This window comes from Homo sapiens, chromosome Y (assembly GCF_000001405.40).
Source record: "Homo sapiens chromosome Y, GRCh38.p14 Primary Assembly".
In the NCBI taxonomy this organism is placed as follows: domain Eukaryota; kingdom Metazoa; phylum Chordata; class Mammalia; order Primates; family Hominidae; genus Homo; species Homo sapiens.
The window spans coordinates 3,678,950-3,696,030 of NC_000024.10; the positions used below are offsets into that span (position 1 = coordinate 3,678,950).

At 35.9% G+C, this 17,081-nt stretch overlaps 1 pseudogene; it reads left to right on the forward strand.

The window, feature by feature from the left end:
• On the forward strand, window positions 3,638-6,193 carry USP12PY (USP12 pseudogene Y-linked; annotated as a pseudogene).
• The last annotated feature ends 10,888 nt before the right edge of the window (window positions 6,194-17,081 follow it).

Below are 17,081 nucleotides of genomic sequence, written 5' to 3' on the forward strand. Positions count from 1 at the left end.
AACAATGGTGATGCACCAGTAGATTGAAGGCTGAATTTACCTACTACTTATATTGTACATAGCGTGTTACAATGGTGCTGATACAACACAGAATAAGCACTGTAAAATGCCTTAATACTGTTCAAATACAGGTTTTATTTCTTTTATTTTAAAAAAAAGTTGCCTAGGTTTTCTTCTAGGGTTTTATGGTTTTATATTTAAGACTTTAATTCGTCTTGAGTTAATTTTTGTATGAGGTGTAAGGAAGGAGTCCAGTTTCTGTTTTCTGCATATGGCTAGCCAGTTTTCCCAGCACCATTTATTAAATAGGGAATCCTTTCCCTGTTGCTCATTTTTGTCAGGTTTGTCAAAGATCAGATGGTTGTACATGTGTGGTGTTATATCTCAGGTATCTGTTCTGTTCCATTGGTCATTGGTCCATATATCTGTTCTGGTACTAGTACCATGCTGTTTTGGTTACTGTAGCCTTGTAGTGTAGTTTGAAGTTAGGTAGCATGATGCCTCCAGCTTTGTTGTTTTTGCTTAGAATTGTCTTGGCTATACAGGCCCCTTTTTGGTTCCATGTGAAATTTAAAGTAGTTTTTTTTCTATTCAGGACGTAGGCATGGGCAAAGACTTCATGATTAAAACACCAAAAGCATTTGCAACAAAAGTCAAAATTGACAAATGGGATCTAATTTAACTAGAGAGCTTCTGCACAGCAAAAGAAACTATCATCAGAGTGAACAAGAAACCTACAGAATGGGAGAAAATTTTTGTAATCCATCCATCTGAGAAAGGGCTAATATCCAGAATCTACAAGAAACTTAAATTTACAAGAAAAAAAAACCACATCAAAAAGTGGGAAAAGAATATGAACATATGAACAGACACTTCTCAAAAGAAGACATTTATGTGGCCAACAAACATATGAAAAAAAGCTCATCATCACTGGTCATTAAAGAAATGCAAAGCAAAACCAGTAAGATACCATCTCACACCAGTTAGTATGGCAATTATTAAAAAGTCAGGAAACCACAGATGCCAGTGATGCCGTGGAGAAATAGGAACGCTTTTACACTGTTGGTGGGAGTGTAAATTATTTCAACCATTGTGGAAGACAGTGTGGCAATTCCTCAAGGATCTAGAACCAGAAATACCATTTGACCCAGCAATCCCATTATGGGGTATATACCCAAAGGATTATAAATCATTCTACTATAAAGACATATGTACATGTATTTTTATTGTGGCACTGTTCACAATAGCAATGACTTGGAACAAACCCAAATGCCCATCCATGACAGACTAAAGAAAATGCAGCACATATATACCATGGAATACTATGCAGCCATAAAAAAGAATGAGTTCATGTTCTTTGCAGGGACATGAATGAAGCTGGAAGCCATCATTCTCAGCAAACTAATACAGGAACAGAAAACAAAACACTTCATGTTCTCACTCATAACTGGGAGTTGAACAATGAGAACACATGGGTACAGGGAGGGGAACATCACACACTGGGGCCTGTCAGGGGTAGGAAGCAAGGGGAGGTAGAGCATTAGGACAAATACCTAAAGCATGCAGTGCTTAAAACCTAGATGATGGGTTGATAGGTGCAGCAAATTACCATGGCACATGTATATCTATGTAAGAAACCTGCACATTCTGCACATGTATTCCAGAACTTAAAGTAAGACATTTTTTTTTTTTTTTTTGAGATGAAGTCTCGCTCTGTCACCCAGGCTGGAGTGCAATGGCGTGATCTCCGCTCACTGCAACCCCCGCCTCCCGGGTTCAAGCGATTTTCCTGCCCAGACTCCTGAGTAGCTGCAATTACAGGCACATGCCACCACACCAGGCTAATTTTTGTATTTTTAGTAGAGACAGGATTTCACCATGTTGGTCAGGCTGGTCTCGAACTCCTGACCTCATGATCCATTTACCTCGGCCTCCCAAAGTGCTGAGATTACAGGCGTGAGCCACCGCGCCAGGCTGGCTAAAGTAAAATTGTCTTTAAACAAGTTTTATTTTAGGTTTAGGGGTACATGTGCAGGATTTTTATATTGACAAACTCATGTTGTAGGGGCTTGTGCAAATTTTGTCACCCAGGTACTAAGCATAGTGCCCAATAGTTATTTTTTCTGATTCTCCTTCTCCTTCCACCCTCCACCCTCAAGTAGGCCTAAGTATCTTTTGTTCCCCTTTTTGTTGCCATGTGTTCTCATTATTTAGCTTCTACTTACAAGTGAGAACATGCAGTATTTGGTTTTCTGTTCCTGTATTAGTTTGCTAGAATAATAGCCTCCAGTTCCACCCACGTTCCCAGAAGGGATATAATATTCTTTTTTCTGGCTGCATAGTATTCCATGGTATATATGTACCACATTTTATTTATCCAGTCTGTCATTGATGGGCATTTTCGTTGATTCCATGTCTTTGCTATTGCGAATAGTGCTACAATGAACATATGCATACATGTGTCTTTGTGGTAGAACAACTTCTATTCCTTTTATTTTACTATATTTATTTTCCTATATGTTACCCAGTAATGAACAACTTAAAAATAATAAGAGCCATCTATCATAAATCCACAGACAAAATCATACTAAACAGTCAAAAGCTGAATGTATTCCCCTTGAAAACTGGCACAAGATGAGGATGCCCTGTCCCACCACACCTGTTCATCATAGTATTGGAAGTCCCGGCCAGAGAAATAATGTAAGAGAAATAAATAAATGGCATCCAAATAGGAAGAGAGAAAGTCAAACTACCCCTGTTTGCAGAAGAAATGATTCTATATCTAGAAAACCCCATAGTCATGGCCACAAAGCTTCTTAACCTGATAAACAACTTTAGCAAAGTTTCAGAATACAAAATCAATGCACAAAAATCATTAGCATTCCTATTCACCAACAGCCAAGCTGAGAGCCAAATCAGGAATGCAATTGCATTTACAACTGCCACAAAAAAATGATACAGCTAGCCAGTTAGGTGAAAGAGCTCTATGGTGAGAATTACAAAACAATGCAGAAAGAAATCAGAGATCACACAAATAAATGAAAAGCCATTCCATGCTCATGAACAGGAAAAATCAGTATCACTAAAATGGTCATACTGCCTAAAACAATTTACAGATTCAGTGCTATTCCTATCAAACTACCAATAATATTCTTCAAAGAACTAGATAAAACTATTATAAAATTCATATGGAAACAAAAAAGAACCTGAGTAGCTAAGGCAATCCTAAGCAAAAAGAACAGAAATGAAAGCATCACGGTACCCAACTGCAAAATATACTACAGGGCGGGGCCGTGCGCAGTGGCTCACGCCTGTAATTTCAACACTTGGGGAGGGCGGATCACGAGGTCAGGAGTTCGAGACCAGCCTGACCAACATGGTGAAACCCCATCTCTACTAAAAATACAAAATTTAGCTGGGCATTGTGGCACGCGCCTGTATTCCCAGCTATTCAGGAGGCTGAGGCAGTAGAATCGCTTGAACCCGGGAGGCAGAGGTTGCAGTGAGCCGAGATCGCGCCATTGCACTCCAGCCTGGGCGACAGAGAGGAAACTCAAAAAAAAAAAAAAAAAAAAAAACAACTCAAAAAAAAAAAAAAAAAAAAAAAAGCGGCCAGCTGACGGGGACTAGGCCCGGGAGTACCTGAGGGACCGGCGGCGATGACGGCAGTGGAGGCCTAGTGGGCTCGGTGCGTGGGTCGGCGGCGGCTCGGGGTCCACCCGCGGGCTACAGTGCAAGCGGGGGGCCCGGCTCCCGTCCTCCCCCACCCGGCTCCGCCACTATGATTGGGTGGAAGATGGCGCTGGCCAGATGGAAATCCTAATGACAGTCTCCAAATTCGCCTCCATCTGTACCATGGGCGCCAATGCTTCGGCGTTAGAGAAAGAGATTGGTCCAGAACAGTTTCCGGTCAACGAGCATTATTTTGGATTAGTCAATTTTGGGAATACCTGCTACTGCAATTCAGTTCTTCAAGCACTTATTTTTGTCGTCCGTTTCGGGAAAAAGTTCTTGCATATAAGAGTCAACCTAGGAAAAAGGAGAGCTTTCTTACATGCTTAGCAGATCTCTTCCACAGCATAGCCACTCAGAAGAAAAAGGTTGGAGTAATACCTCCGAAGAAGTTCATCACAAGATTACAGAAATAAAATGAGCTTTTCGACAACTACATGCAACAAGATGCCCATGAATTCTTAAATTACCTACTAAATACAATTGGTGATATTTTACAAGAAGAGAGAAAGCAGGAAAAACAAAATGGTCGCTAACCTAATGATAATATTGATAATGAAAATAATAGCAGCACACCAGACCCAACGTGGGTTCATGAGATTTTTTGGGGAACGTTAACTAATGAAACCAGAAGTCTTACTTGCGAAACTATAAGCAGCAAAGATGAAGATTTTTTAGACCTTTCTGTTGACGTGGAACAAAATACATCAATTACTCACTGCTTAAGGGGTTTCAGCAACACAGAAACTCTATGCAGTTAATACAAGTATTACTGTGAAGAGTGTCGCAGCAAACAGGAAGCACACAAACAGATGAAAGTTTAAAAACTGCCCATGATTCTAGCTCTACACTTGAAGAGATTTAAATATATGGATCAACTTCATCGATATACAAAACTCTCTTACCGGGTGGTTTTTCCTTTAGAACTTCGTCTATTTAACACTTCAGGTGATGCCACCAATCCAGACAGAATGTACGACCTTGTTGCTGTTGTGGTTCACTGTGGAAGTGGTCCCAATCGAGGCCATTATATTGCGATAGTTAAGAGTCATGATTTTTGATTGTTGTTTGATGAGACATTGTAGAAAAATAGATACACAAGCTATTGAAGAATTCTACGGGTTGACATCAGATACTCAAAGAACTCTGAGTCTGGTTACATCCTTTTCTATCAGTCTCGGGACTGAGGGGGAACTGCGATGAAGAGATACTTTCTGCCTCATTTCTTTTCTGGTTATTTTGGAAAGGATCAAGCACTGATTTTTCAAGAAAAGAGAAATGCAGGAAGCTCAGGGGTCAGTAGCAGGCTTTGCACACGATAAAGCAAAAACGATGGATTGACAAGCCCTTCTGATCATGGTAGTTGATTTATTTGCTCAGGTATCATGCTGTCTGTACAGTTCCATACAACAAGGAGGTGAAATCCATACCAGCTTCTCTTGTAAAACAGCCTTCCAGTCATTGACAGGCATTTTCTCTTTGCTAATTGCACCAATAATGCTTTGAATTCCTTAGGGGTGCGGTAGAAAGAATCGGAATCTGGACTGTATTGGTAAGGAGATGATGTTGAACGCACTGCATAAATTTGCCTGGTTCAGTATGTATAGAAGCATATTCAGTGGTCTTTTCAAGAGTAAACCAGAAATACTTTTGGGCCCAACACTTGCAGTTGCTTTCCTGATGTAAAAACTAACATGCTAGATAATCCAGTGTCAGGAAGACAAAGATGCTTTGCTTCTCTGAAGAAGCTTATAATAATATACAGTATATGTATATGTAGGGAGCAATTGGTCAAAAGTGGCTTTTTGTTTCCACAAGGGGAAAGACTGGCTATGTAATTATAATTTTTTCCTTATTTATTTTACTTAAAGCTGGTAGAGTCTAAGTATTGTATGAAGTGCCCATGATTCTGTCAGTAAATTTGAGCATATTTTTATCAGTTAATGTCATTTTAACTGGTCCTTTTGTTTGTTTCTATTTTTAAGGTGAATTTTAAATTATATCTGAAATCAGTAAGATACCTTGAGAAAAACTGCAATGAGAGGAGGTAAATATCCTTTTCAGGAGGAACTGATATCTCTGGCTAAATATTTGTCCTTTTATTATGGCATCTAAATCAGTTATTTTCTTCAGCTTTAATTTCATAAAATTAAAAAACTATATAAAAAATTCCTGTAGTTGTTGGAATAATTAAAAATTCTGGTGCAGTGGTGGTATACCAATCTTTAGAATTCTTAAGAATTCTAATGTTTCAAGTTGAGGCCATGCTTGGGAAAATCATGTCATAGCATTTATGTTATTTTCAGATATCATTTTTTACCTTGGAAAGAAGTAATAATGTTCATCATAACCCTAACAGCCTGGATAGTGAGCTAAACAAACCCTTTGAAGATTACATTTTAATCAAGTAGACTAGGAATATAAAAAACAAGTCCTTCCTCCCCTTCCCCCCACCTTTACAAATCTTACTGGAAGGGTGTTCAGAAATTAAAATTTGTGTTTGCTAAGACTTCATTCTATTGGGGGTTTTAAGAAGTAATATATGTAATGTAAAATGTATGTAAACCACTGCAGTTTTTTTGGACATTTTTCCATGTATCAGTAAGTTGTCTGACAGTAGCCAAATGTAACTTGCAGAAAGTTATTGAAAGTTATATTGAGAATAATAGCAATCAGGCCTTGGATGTTCTTTATTAAACTCTTTTCAAGCAGTAAATTTTAAAAAAAAATCTGCCATTTTCTAAAGTTCTTTTGCTAAGACTGTTGACTACGGAAAACAAACAACAAAATGGAATGTTTTTAGTCTGCTGCTATTATTAACATTTGTTATCTGTACCTTTTGGCTCAGGAAATTACTTCACCTATTTGTTCCATAAGCAGACTTTTAACAGGGTCATTTAGGTAACTGGGCTGCTTAAACAGATGTGCTGGGAGAAAATTATAATATTTAGTATTTGTACTAAATATCAAAAGTATTTTGGCAAGTTTCTTTTTAAAATAGTTTCTAAAGCCTTACCCTGGCTAGAGATGTTTTGTACAAATGATATACAGCCTGCCTGATCTACCAACATGCCAGAGAATCACAATCAACAATGTGGGGAAAGTTAGGGCAGTGGAAGTGGATGCACACTTTTTATTTTGAGGGCTTAAACCAAATTGTTTTGGACTTAAAGCTGTATTTCTGCAACTTTCAGTACAGAGAAAAAGGGGAAAGTGAAGCTGTGTCAGTTTTAACATTAGCTATATCACAACATGTTTAAGAAAGATAGATGAAGTCATTTGCATAAAGGTACAGCATTGAAATACTATGTTGTGTTTGTTTTTACATTTTTGCCAAAAAAAATACAGTAAAAGCCAAGTTAAATTTCATATTAAAGCAAGTTCTAGTATATGTATTGAGTTCCTGGTAGTCACATACTTTGTTCACATCTGCACCATACTTCGTAGTATGATTTGTCAGGGGAGGGACTGTGGGGTGACAGTTTCACATTTACTTTTTCTTCTTAATGCAGCTGGATCTAAGTAAAATGTTTTGAAGTTTATCAGAAACTCAGTATACTTTTAAAATATATAGGGTCAGGGTTGGGGGAAAAATACAGGTATAGTAAGAAAAGTGACCCATGAAGAAAGCATTGTGAGGTTGTATGTTGGTTGACTGTGATTAAAATGCGAGGCTGGTGTAAGTTGTAAATGGTGGCTGATTGCCATGTAACTATGTACATGATTGTTGGGATGGCTGTCCCATATTTTGTATATTGGAATAAATATTTCTATAAATTATTGTAACTAAAAGTAAATATTCTAAATTAAATCCCACTTCTTAAGTCTCATGGCTTCTGTCTTGGAAACTTTACCTTTAAAAGATTATTTAAGACAGGAACCAGGAGGTTTGGGCACAGGGAAAGAAGGAAATGCTGTATTATGTGGGTCTTGTGGCCTCTAACCATCAGTATAGGGTTTTTTCTTTCCTTGATGGCAGTAGAAAGACCTCATTTTCATAACATAACTACTCTTCATACTTTCTTAAAAACACTTTTTATTAAAGATTCCATCATGAAGTATTTGGCTGGGAGCTGGGAGGCTAAAGCACTCATGTCCTGGCTCTTCAGTGAATTTAACTGTGTGACCTTGGGCAAGTCACTTAACCTCTCTGTACTTCAGTCTCCGTATCTTGTAAAATGAGAGTAATACTTACCTCACAGTGTTGTTGTGGGGATTAATTAGAGATAACGTCTGTAAAGCACTTAAGGTTCTTGAAGAAGGCTCTATATAAATACAAAATAATATCTACTAAAGTTGGTTTATTTGTGTAAAAAGAAATATATATATACACAGGTATACATACATACACTACAGGGCTACAGTAACCAAAACAGTGTGGCACTGGTATAAAAACAGACACATAGACTAATGGAACAGAATATAGAGCCCAGAAATAAGGCTGCCCACCTAAAATTATCTGATTTTTGACAAAGTGACAAAAACAAGCAATGGAGAAAAGACTCCCTCCTATTCAATAAATGGTGTTGGGATAACTGGCTAGCCACATGGAGAAGGTTTAAACTGCACCCATTTTTTACTTCACATACAAAAATCAACTCAAGGCAGAATAAAGATTTAAATGTGAAAACCAACACTATAAAAACCCTGGAGGACAACCTAGAAAAATACCATCCTGGACCTAGAAACTGGCAAAGATTTCATGACAAAGATCCCAAAAGCAATGATAGTAAAAGCAAAAATTTACAAATAGGATGTATTTAAATGTAAGAGCTTCACCATAGCCAAAGAAACTATCAACAGAGTACACAGACAACCTATGGAACAGGAGAAAATATTTGCAAACTATGCATTTGACAAAGGTCTAATATATAGTATCTGTAAGGACCTTAAACAAGTTTACAAGCAAAACACCAAGAGCCACATTAAAAAGGAGGCAAAGGACATGAGCACACTTTTCAAAAGAAGACATACATGTGGCCAACAAGCATGTGAAAAAAAAATTCAATTATCACTGAGCATTAGAGAAATGCAAATCAAAGCCACAGTGAGATATCATCTCATACCTGTCAGAGTGGCTATTACTAGAAGTTGCAAAGTAGCAGATGTTGGCGAGGTTGTGCAGAAAAGGGAATCTTTATACGCTGTTGGTGGGAGTGTAAGTTAGTTCAACCATCATGGAAAGCAGTGTGGCAATTTCTCAAAGAGCTAAATAAAGGTTTCAATAGGCATTTGTAGTAAGATATTTCATGTTCTGTTTAAGTCTTTCACAGTTCATATTCTTGGTAAGACCTCATTAGTAAAATCTCCAGAAATTCCACTACGTGTAGTCTCCCTAAACATAAGGCTGAGTCATTAAGACAGTAGCACAACCTAGAACTCTTCAGTCCCTGCTTTTCTGGAAGCCAATTTAAGTAGTTATATATTTCAATCAGAGAGTGAAACATGCATTAGCCTTAAGATTTTATTCAGAATTTTATAGATAAGTGTCTCGTTTCAATTATAATCCATTGAGATGGCTGAATATCTCACTAATGGAACAATGTTTCCTCTCAAAATTTATATTTGAATGTTTTAATACAAATGAAAATATTCTTATTTTTCTGTAGTACTTTGTTATCCTAAAATTTGAAAAATGTCAAAATCAAATATAAATATGATTGAAAATCAGTTTGTAAGTCTGTTCTTATCATTTTTTGTAAGAATTTATTTTACCTAAGCTAGCTTTGCTTCACATTATATTTTGTGGAATTTTAATAAATGGTTTTGAATAGCAATCAACACAGAAGTTTTTCTAATATTTTTATTTGGTCCATAAAACATTAAACAAATGACAGTTTCTCTTGTTTCAAATGAATGTGTCAGTGCTGAAAAAATTTTGATGTGCTACTCACATGAGCTCACTTATAGAATTTGAGAGAAAAATAACACAATTCAAATGTTATTTTATTTTGAAAACAACCCATTTATGAGGACATATTTACTGGCTATTTGTCCATAAACACTTTTTTTCAAAAGGAGGTATGTGTTTGTTTATTTGTATGTGTATGTATGTGTGCACGCACACTCATGTACACCTATACATTTATTAATATGGAAAACAGCTAAAACTTTAAAGAAAGGTTTCTGGTCTTTGTTTTTATTTCATTCATGACATTTCAAAGAAAACTCTACTAATTGGCTGCCATTGGGTCAGATTCCCACAGCTGGCTTAATTTTAAAATAGAGGATCTACCACAGCATATACAGCAATAATTTCATAATTTTTAATTGAATCAAGATTTTTAAATTTTATAATGAAGTATATGTAAGGTATCTGAGAACATATTTACCCAGATAATTTATTTTTTCTTTATATTTATAATTGTAAATATAATTCTACAGTGCAAATTATTAGGTAATTTAAAAAGCTCCTTACTAGAAGAAGGTTATCATAAAGGGGAAAAAAATCATACTTCAATTAGAAATTTAAAAGTTTTCCTTATAATTTCTAAATGTTAGTGCATCTTAAAGTAGAAATGATTTAATTTTTAATTAAATAAAAATAATTTTCTCATAAAAGTACATATATATATCTTTACTTCAGAAGACTATAAAATTTAAATATTATATCAATTAATTTGTATAATAAAATTAATCACTGTGTGTGTGTGTGTGTGTGTGTGTGGTTCAGTTGAGTCATAAGTCATTCTCAAATTTGTAAGTTAGGCAATATTACAAAATGTAGTTATCATTTAATGTTTCCCATTCAATGCGGCAAGTTATATTTTATATTTTATTACTGAAATGATCCTCACGACAGTGCTATAAAGGTGGTACTTTCAATATGTCTACTTTACAGATGAAACAGCTGAGTTAGAGAGATTATGTGCTTTATTCAAGGTTATATTTTTAGCATGAGGCAGGGCTATAATTTGAACCCAAAATGTCTGACACGAGAGTTTACCCCCCTAAATTCTGAAGAAAATTTCTCGAATAAAGAAAGCACCCAAGGTGAAAATCAATACATATTAAAACATATATGATTTGTCTGTGAGAATATCATGGGCAATTTCTCATAATTCTGAAGGTTTAAAAGCATGCATAACAAATGAATCAGTTCATAATTTCAAATGACATATTATAAAACTCAGTTTAAAAAGTAATTAAAGTATCTATTATCAAACATAAAGTACAATAATACTAAGCAATATCCCATAATGATGGGCCATATGGTGAGATATTATGAAAAGCTATAACATTGGGCTGGGCACAGTGGCTCACACCTGTAATTCCAGCACTTTGGGAGGTGAAGGTGGGCAGATCACTTGAGGTCAAGAATTCGAGACCAGCTTGGCCAACATGGTGAAATCCGTCTCTACTAAAAATAGAAAAATTACCCAGGCATGGTGGTGCATGCCTGTAATCCCAGCTACTGCAGAGGCTGAGGTGAGAGAATTAATTGAACCTATGAGGCAGAGGTTGCAGTGAGCCGAGATCGCGCCACAGAACTCCAGCCTGGGTGACAAAGTGAGAGTCCATCTTAAAAAAAAAAAAAAAAGAAAAAAAGTTATAACCCCTATTAATTATCTTCAACACTTAAAATATATCTTTTGTGATTCCTCTAACAGCTCAAACATCACATAAAACAATGCAGAGGGTCAAAGCATTGTCATGTTCAGTTATTTCAGCAGCTAGTCACATATGACAGTAGGAATCTATTCTTTGAATAAATACGTTGAGACAGTTGTGTAGAATCCACTCACATGATACCCAACATATAACTGAAAATTACAATTGAAACTGATGGTTTAAACCATTAATTGCACCATCCACTGAATTTTGTATATTTGTTATTTATGCTTGATAACTTGAATTGACTAATTGGTTCATAGATTGCCCGCTACTAATTCACCACCTCCAAAACACGAACATCCCTTTGAGTACTTCTGTACTTGATCACACAAACAGAAAGGAGAAAGCACAGGTTTTGATTCTATCCACTGTGCTAAGAGCAGTATTCATTATTCACTTAATGCTATAGTCTGAATGTTTCCTCCAAAATCCATGTTGAAATTTAATGGCTGTTGTGATTATATTAAGAGGTGAGAATAGTAAGAATGGGTTGCTGCCATATGCCATGGGGATGAGTTAATTATCCCGGGAGTAGGTTCCTGATCAAAAGCATGAGTTATACCCTCTTTCTTTCTGTCTGATGTACTCACCTGCCCTTCTGTCTTCTGCCATGTTTTGCTGCATCACAAAGACCTTCATTAGAAGCCAGCTCTTAGCCTTCTCAGCCTTCAAAACCCTGAGGCATATAAACTTCAATTTTTTAAATTAATTACCCAGTCTCTGGTACTCTGTATGGCAATGCAAAATAAACTAGGACATTTAACTTTGTTATTAGCTCTTCACTATAATTTTATTTGAACCTTTTTTGTATCAAGTGAGTAAAAACAGCATGATATGTACTCAAAAAGTAGAAAGTAAATGAATATTTTAAAATAAATTATGCATTCAATCTCAAGCTGCTTTATCTGAATTACTGAAATTAGTTTTCCTCTCACAGCAAGTTTTTATTAAAAATGTCTAAAACATTCAGAGGCAAAAATATATAACAAAAATTTACCTTCTGATACGGTTTGGATCTGTGTTCCTGTCCAAATCTTGTGTTGAATTGTAATATTGGAGGTAGGGCCTGGTGGGAGGTAACTGGATCACCGGGGTGGTTTCTCATGGTTTAACACCATTCTCCTTGGAGCTTTGAGTTCTCACAAAATATGGTTGTTTAAAGCTCTGTAACACCTCCCCTCTCCCTCTCTTGGTCCTATTACTGCATTGTAAGGCGCCTCCTCCCACTTTGCCTTCTACCTTGAGTAAAAGTTCCCTGAGGCCTCTCCAGAAGCAGATGATGCCATGCTTCCTGTACAGCCTATGGAACCATAAGCCAATTAAATCTCTTTTCTTATAAATGACCCAGTCTCAGGTATTTATAGCAGTGCAAGAATGGAGTAATACACCTTCCTTATGCTAAAGAAATGCTTCGCTGTGTAAAGGGTTCTATATACACACACAAACGTATACAGAAACAGAGACAAACTGGAGTCAGTTCTTAAAAGTTTCTAGGAATCTGATACCAAACATAAATTTTACTAACAAAGAAGAAAGAAAAGAAAAGGAAACATATAGTGTGTTGATTTATTCTAACCCAGCTACTTATATATGCCAGGTACTAGTACTCTTCATTTGAAAATATAGATATTACTTTTAATGTTATTTGCAAAAAATAATAAATTAAAATAAATATATGTTTATATTACACCAGATTATATCATATGAGCATTAGGGTATATTACTTCTCTCCCATGACTTTTGTTTTCACAAAGGCAAAAGATTGACAGATCAGCCATGCTACTAGTTTAGTAAATTTAGGTAAATGAATTAACTGTCCTATATTATAGTAAAAATACAGGAAAAAATAAAGTGTTTGGTGGATAGAATAATCTTTTACGAACAGCTAGAATGGTAGTTCTACTAGAATATTATCCGTACTCTTTAGCAGACAAAAATTTTTTACACATCATTGTAGGAAACAGGGCAATTTGAAATTAACTGGTGCTAAAATCTTTTCATTACTCTACAGAAGTGTTTGTCAAAGTAAGAGCCTGGATTCACATTCATCAGAGTATGCTCTAAGCACTTCCTGTATCACTTAGGATGTAGCAAGTCACAAAAGATTATTGTTGTCTAACTTCAATAATAAGCCAGGTAAGTTACAAAGGCATAGTTTTTCTTTTTAAAAAAGTTTTAAATCTGAGGATAAAAAGAAAACTAAATCAGCTAAAATGCAGAACATGAGAAGCCCTTCATAGGAGAGAAGAGGCTCATGTTTACTTTGTTCCTTTATAGAGTGCTGTGAGGAGAGGAATCTACTATAGATAATTGTTAATAGCAACCACTCAAATATTGAACAGACCTTTGATAACATGTATAAGCCGGTTTATTGAATTGGGATCTGCAAACACCCCAGCAATTAAAAAAGTATGTACAGTGCTTTCAACACTTTCCCATGGGCCCTCAAAGAATCTTAAGGGATAATATGCTAAAAGTTGCAGACAGAAGAAAACTGAGAGATAGAGCCTCCAGAGATATAACTACCCTACTTCAGTCCACAAACAAAAATTAATTCAAGACAAATTATAGAACAAAATATTAAATCTAGATTCATAAAACTTCCAGGAGAAAATATTGAAAAAATCTGCACATTGTGTTACTCGAAGACCTTCTAGTCAGCTCACAAGTAGTAACCATAAGGACAAAAAATTATAAATGAGACAGTCAAACTTTTAGTTATGCTAATCAAAAGACAGCATAAAAAGGATAAATATGTAAGCCTCTATCTGTGAAAACTATTTGCAATATATATGTATATATCTAAGATCCTTAACCAAGCTTATGTCCACTTGAAGACAAGTATAAGAATGTACATAACACTTCAATTCATAATAGCTAAAAATTGCCAGGCGCTGTGGCTCACGCCTGTAATCCCAGCACTCTGGGAGGCCAAGGTGGACAGATCATGAGGTCAGGAGATCAATACTATCCTGGCCAACATGATGAAACCCAGGCTCTACTAAAAATACAAAAACTAGCTGGGTGTGGTATACCACACCTGTAATCCCAGCTACTCAGGAAGCTGAGGCAGGAGAATGGCTTGAACCCGGGAGGCGGTGATTGCAGTGAGCCGAGATCACGCCACTGCACTCCAGCCTGGCGACAGAGCAAGACTCCATCTCAAAAAAAAAAAAAAAAAAAAAAAAATCTAAAATTGGAAATAATACAAATGCCCATTAACACATGAATGGATTAAACTTTGTGATACATTTATACAATGAAATCTTAACAATAAAAAGAAAACAAATTCTCATATGTAAAAAAATAGAGAATCTAAAACCATTAAATTGAATACAAGAAGCCAAACACAAATAAGTACATACTATACAAGTCCATTTATATGAATAGACAAAACTACATTATGTTAATAGAAATCAACAGTCATTACCTATGGGTTTCACTGTCTCCCTAGGTGAGGAAACTTTCAGGCGTGTTGTAAATGTTCTATGTCTAATTTTGGTTGGTAGTTAGATGTGTGTATGTTATTGTCAAAGCACATCAAACAGCACTCAAGATTTTTTATTTTCTTGTATGTTAATTTTATCTCAGTAAAAATGCTACAAGAATTTTAACCATTTTTTTCTAGTTACAGTGCTGATTCATAGATCCTACAACAGACCTATTGAAACTGGAATTCCAGGTTTGAGGCCCTAGAATGTGCAATATTAACCAGCATACTGGGCAACTCTAATACACATTAAAATCTTAAACCCTTATCTGTAATATTCAACTTTATGTATTTTTACTACTGTATTTGCAAATTTTATTACTTCACTGTGGGCACGTAACTGATTTATAAACCTTTAAATAATGGTGTATGCTTAGAGAATCTTTTTATCTCTTATTGATTCTAACATTTTTCTTGTCCTCTGGATTTAAAAAATTTTATTATGGTATACCTTGGTGAGATGTGCTTCATGCTTTTTGTGCTAGTTAGGATTCACTGAGCTGTGGGTTTATAATTTTCAAGTTTGGAAAATTTCTAGCCATTATATCTCTAAATATATTTCTGTTTGTTCCATGTCATCTATTCCGATGACTTGAGCTGCACATATATTAGGCAATTTGAAGTTGTCTTGCTGTTCATTGACACTCTGCTAATTTTATTAGTGTTTCATGTTTTCTGTGATTTATTTTACATAGCTTTCTTATTGCTTTCTTCAAGTGTACAAATTCTTTCTATGTGGAAAATCTAGTCTGCCATTTATCCCATCCAGCGAATTTTATCTCAGGCATTCATTCTTACCTTCATCTCTGGACGTTAGATCTGAATCATTTTATACAACTCCCAATTCTCTACCTAATATGCTTTAATGTTTTGTCTGGCTTCTTAAACATAATAAAAACTGTTATAATAATTATTGTTATGTCATGTTTATTAATCAATGTACTTCTGTATCTGTTTTGACTAATTGATTTTCCCTCAATATTAATTTGTATTTTTCTGTTACTTTGCATGCTTGGTAAATTTGAATTGCTTATAATACATTGTGAATTTTAAATTGTGGATGCTAAATATTTTGTTAACCTATAAATTTTTGGATATTTGTTATTGGTCATGTTTTCATTACTTAGAAATAGTTTGATATTGGCCGGGCGCGGTGGCTCACGCCTGTAATCCCAGCACTTTGGGAGGCCAAGGCGGGCGGATCACGAGGTCAGGAGATGGAGACCATCCTGGCTAACACGGTGAAACCCCGTCTCTACTAAAAAAATAAAAAAAATTAGCCGGGCGTGGTGGCAGGCACCTGCTGTGCCAGCCACGCGGGAGGCTGAGGCAGGAGAATGGCATGAACCCAGGAGGCGGAGCTTGCAGTGAGCAGAGATGCACCACTGCACTCCAGCCTGGGCCACAGAGCAAGACTCCGTCTCAAAACAACAACAACAACAACAACAAAAACAAACAAACAAAAACCCCAGAAATAGTTTGTTTGATATTTTCGGTTTTGCTGTTAAGCTTTGTTAGAAGATACTGAAACATAGTTTATTCTAGAAGTAAATTTTTCAACTACTTATGCAAAATTCTACTTAGTACTTTAATGATGCCCCATCAATTATACAGTTCACTGCTTTGATTGTTGGAAACAGGCACTCTTCTTAGCTCAGTGTGAGGTCTTGGTATTGTTCCCTCTAACTCCTTTGGGTAATTCTCTCCCTAAACTGGTAATTTCCTCACATACTTGTGCTGATCAGTACTCAGTTGAATATTAGAGATTTCTGAAGTTCTGTTTGCACAAATACTTTGTAATATAAATGCTTGCTGCTTTTTCATCCCTAGAGTGGCAGCTCCTTCTGAATACAAGGAAATTGCAGGGTTTAACCGGAGTTAATACTCTCAATCAGTCATACAGCCCAGAAATCTACATCTTGGACTGCAATGATTCATGTATTTGACTTTTTGATATTTGTCTATTAGTCCCTGATGTTCTGTTCCTTTTTTGGTTTTGTTTTCTATCTTCCAGATTGATTAATCACTAATGATTTATCTTCAAATTCATCCACTCTCTCTATCATCTCTATTCTGCTACTGAGCACATCCTGTACATTTTTTAAATTTCAGAAAAGTATTTTCAGTTCTAAATTTTTCAGTTGTTTCATAGCATATACGTGTGTATGTATAAACACATACATATGTATATTTGTCAGATTCACTTTCCGTCACTCTCAAGTGTGTTTACTTTTCACCTTATAGA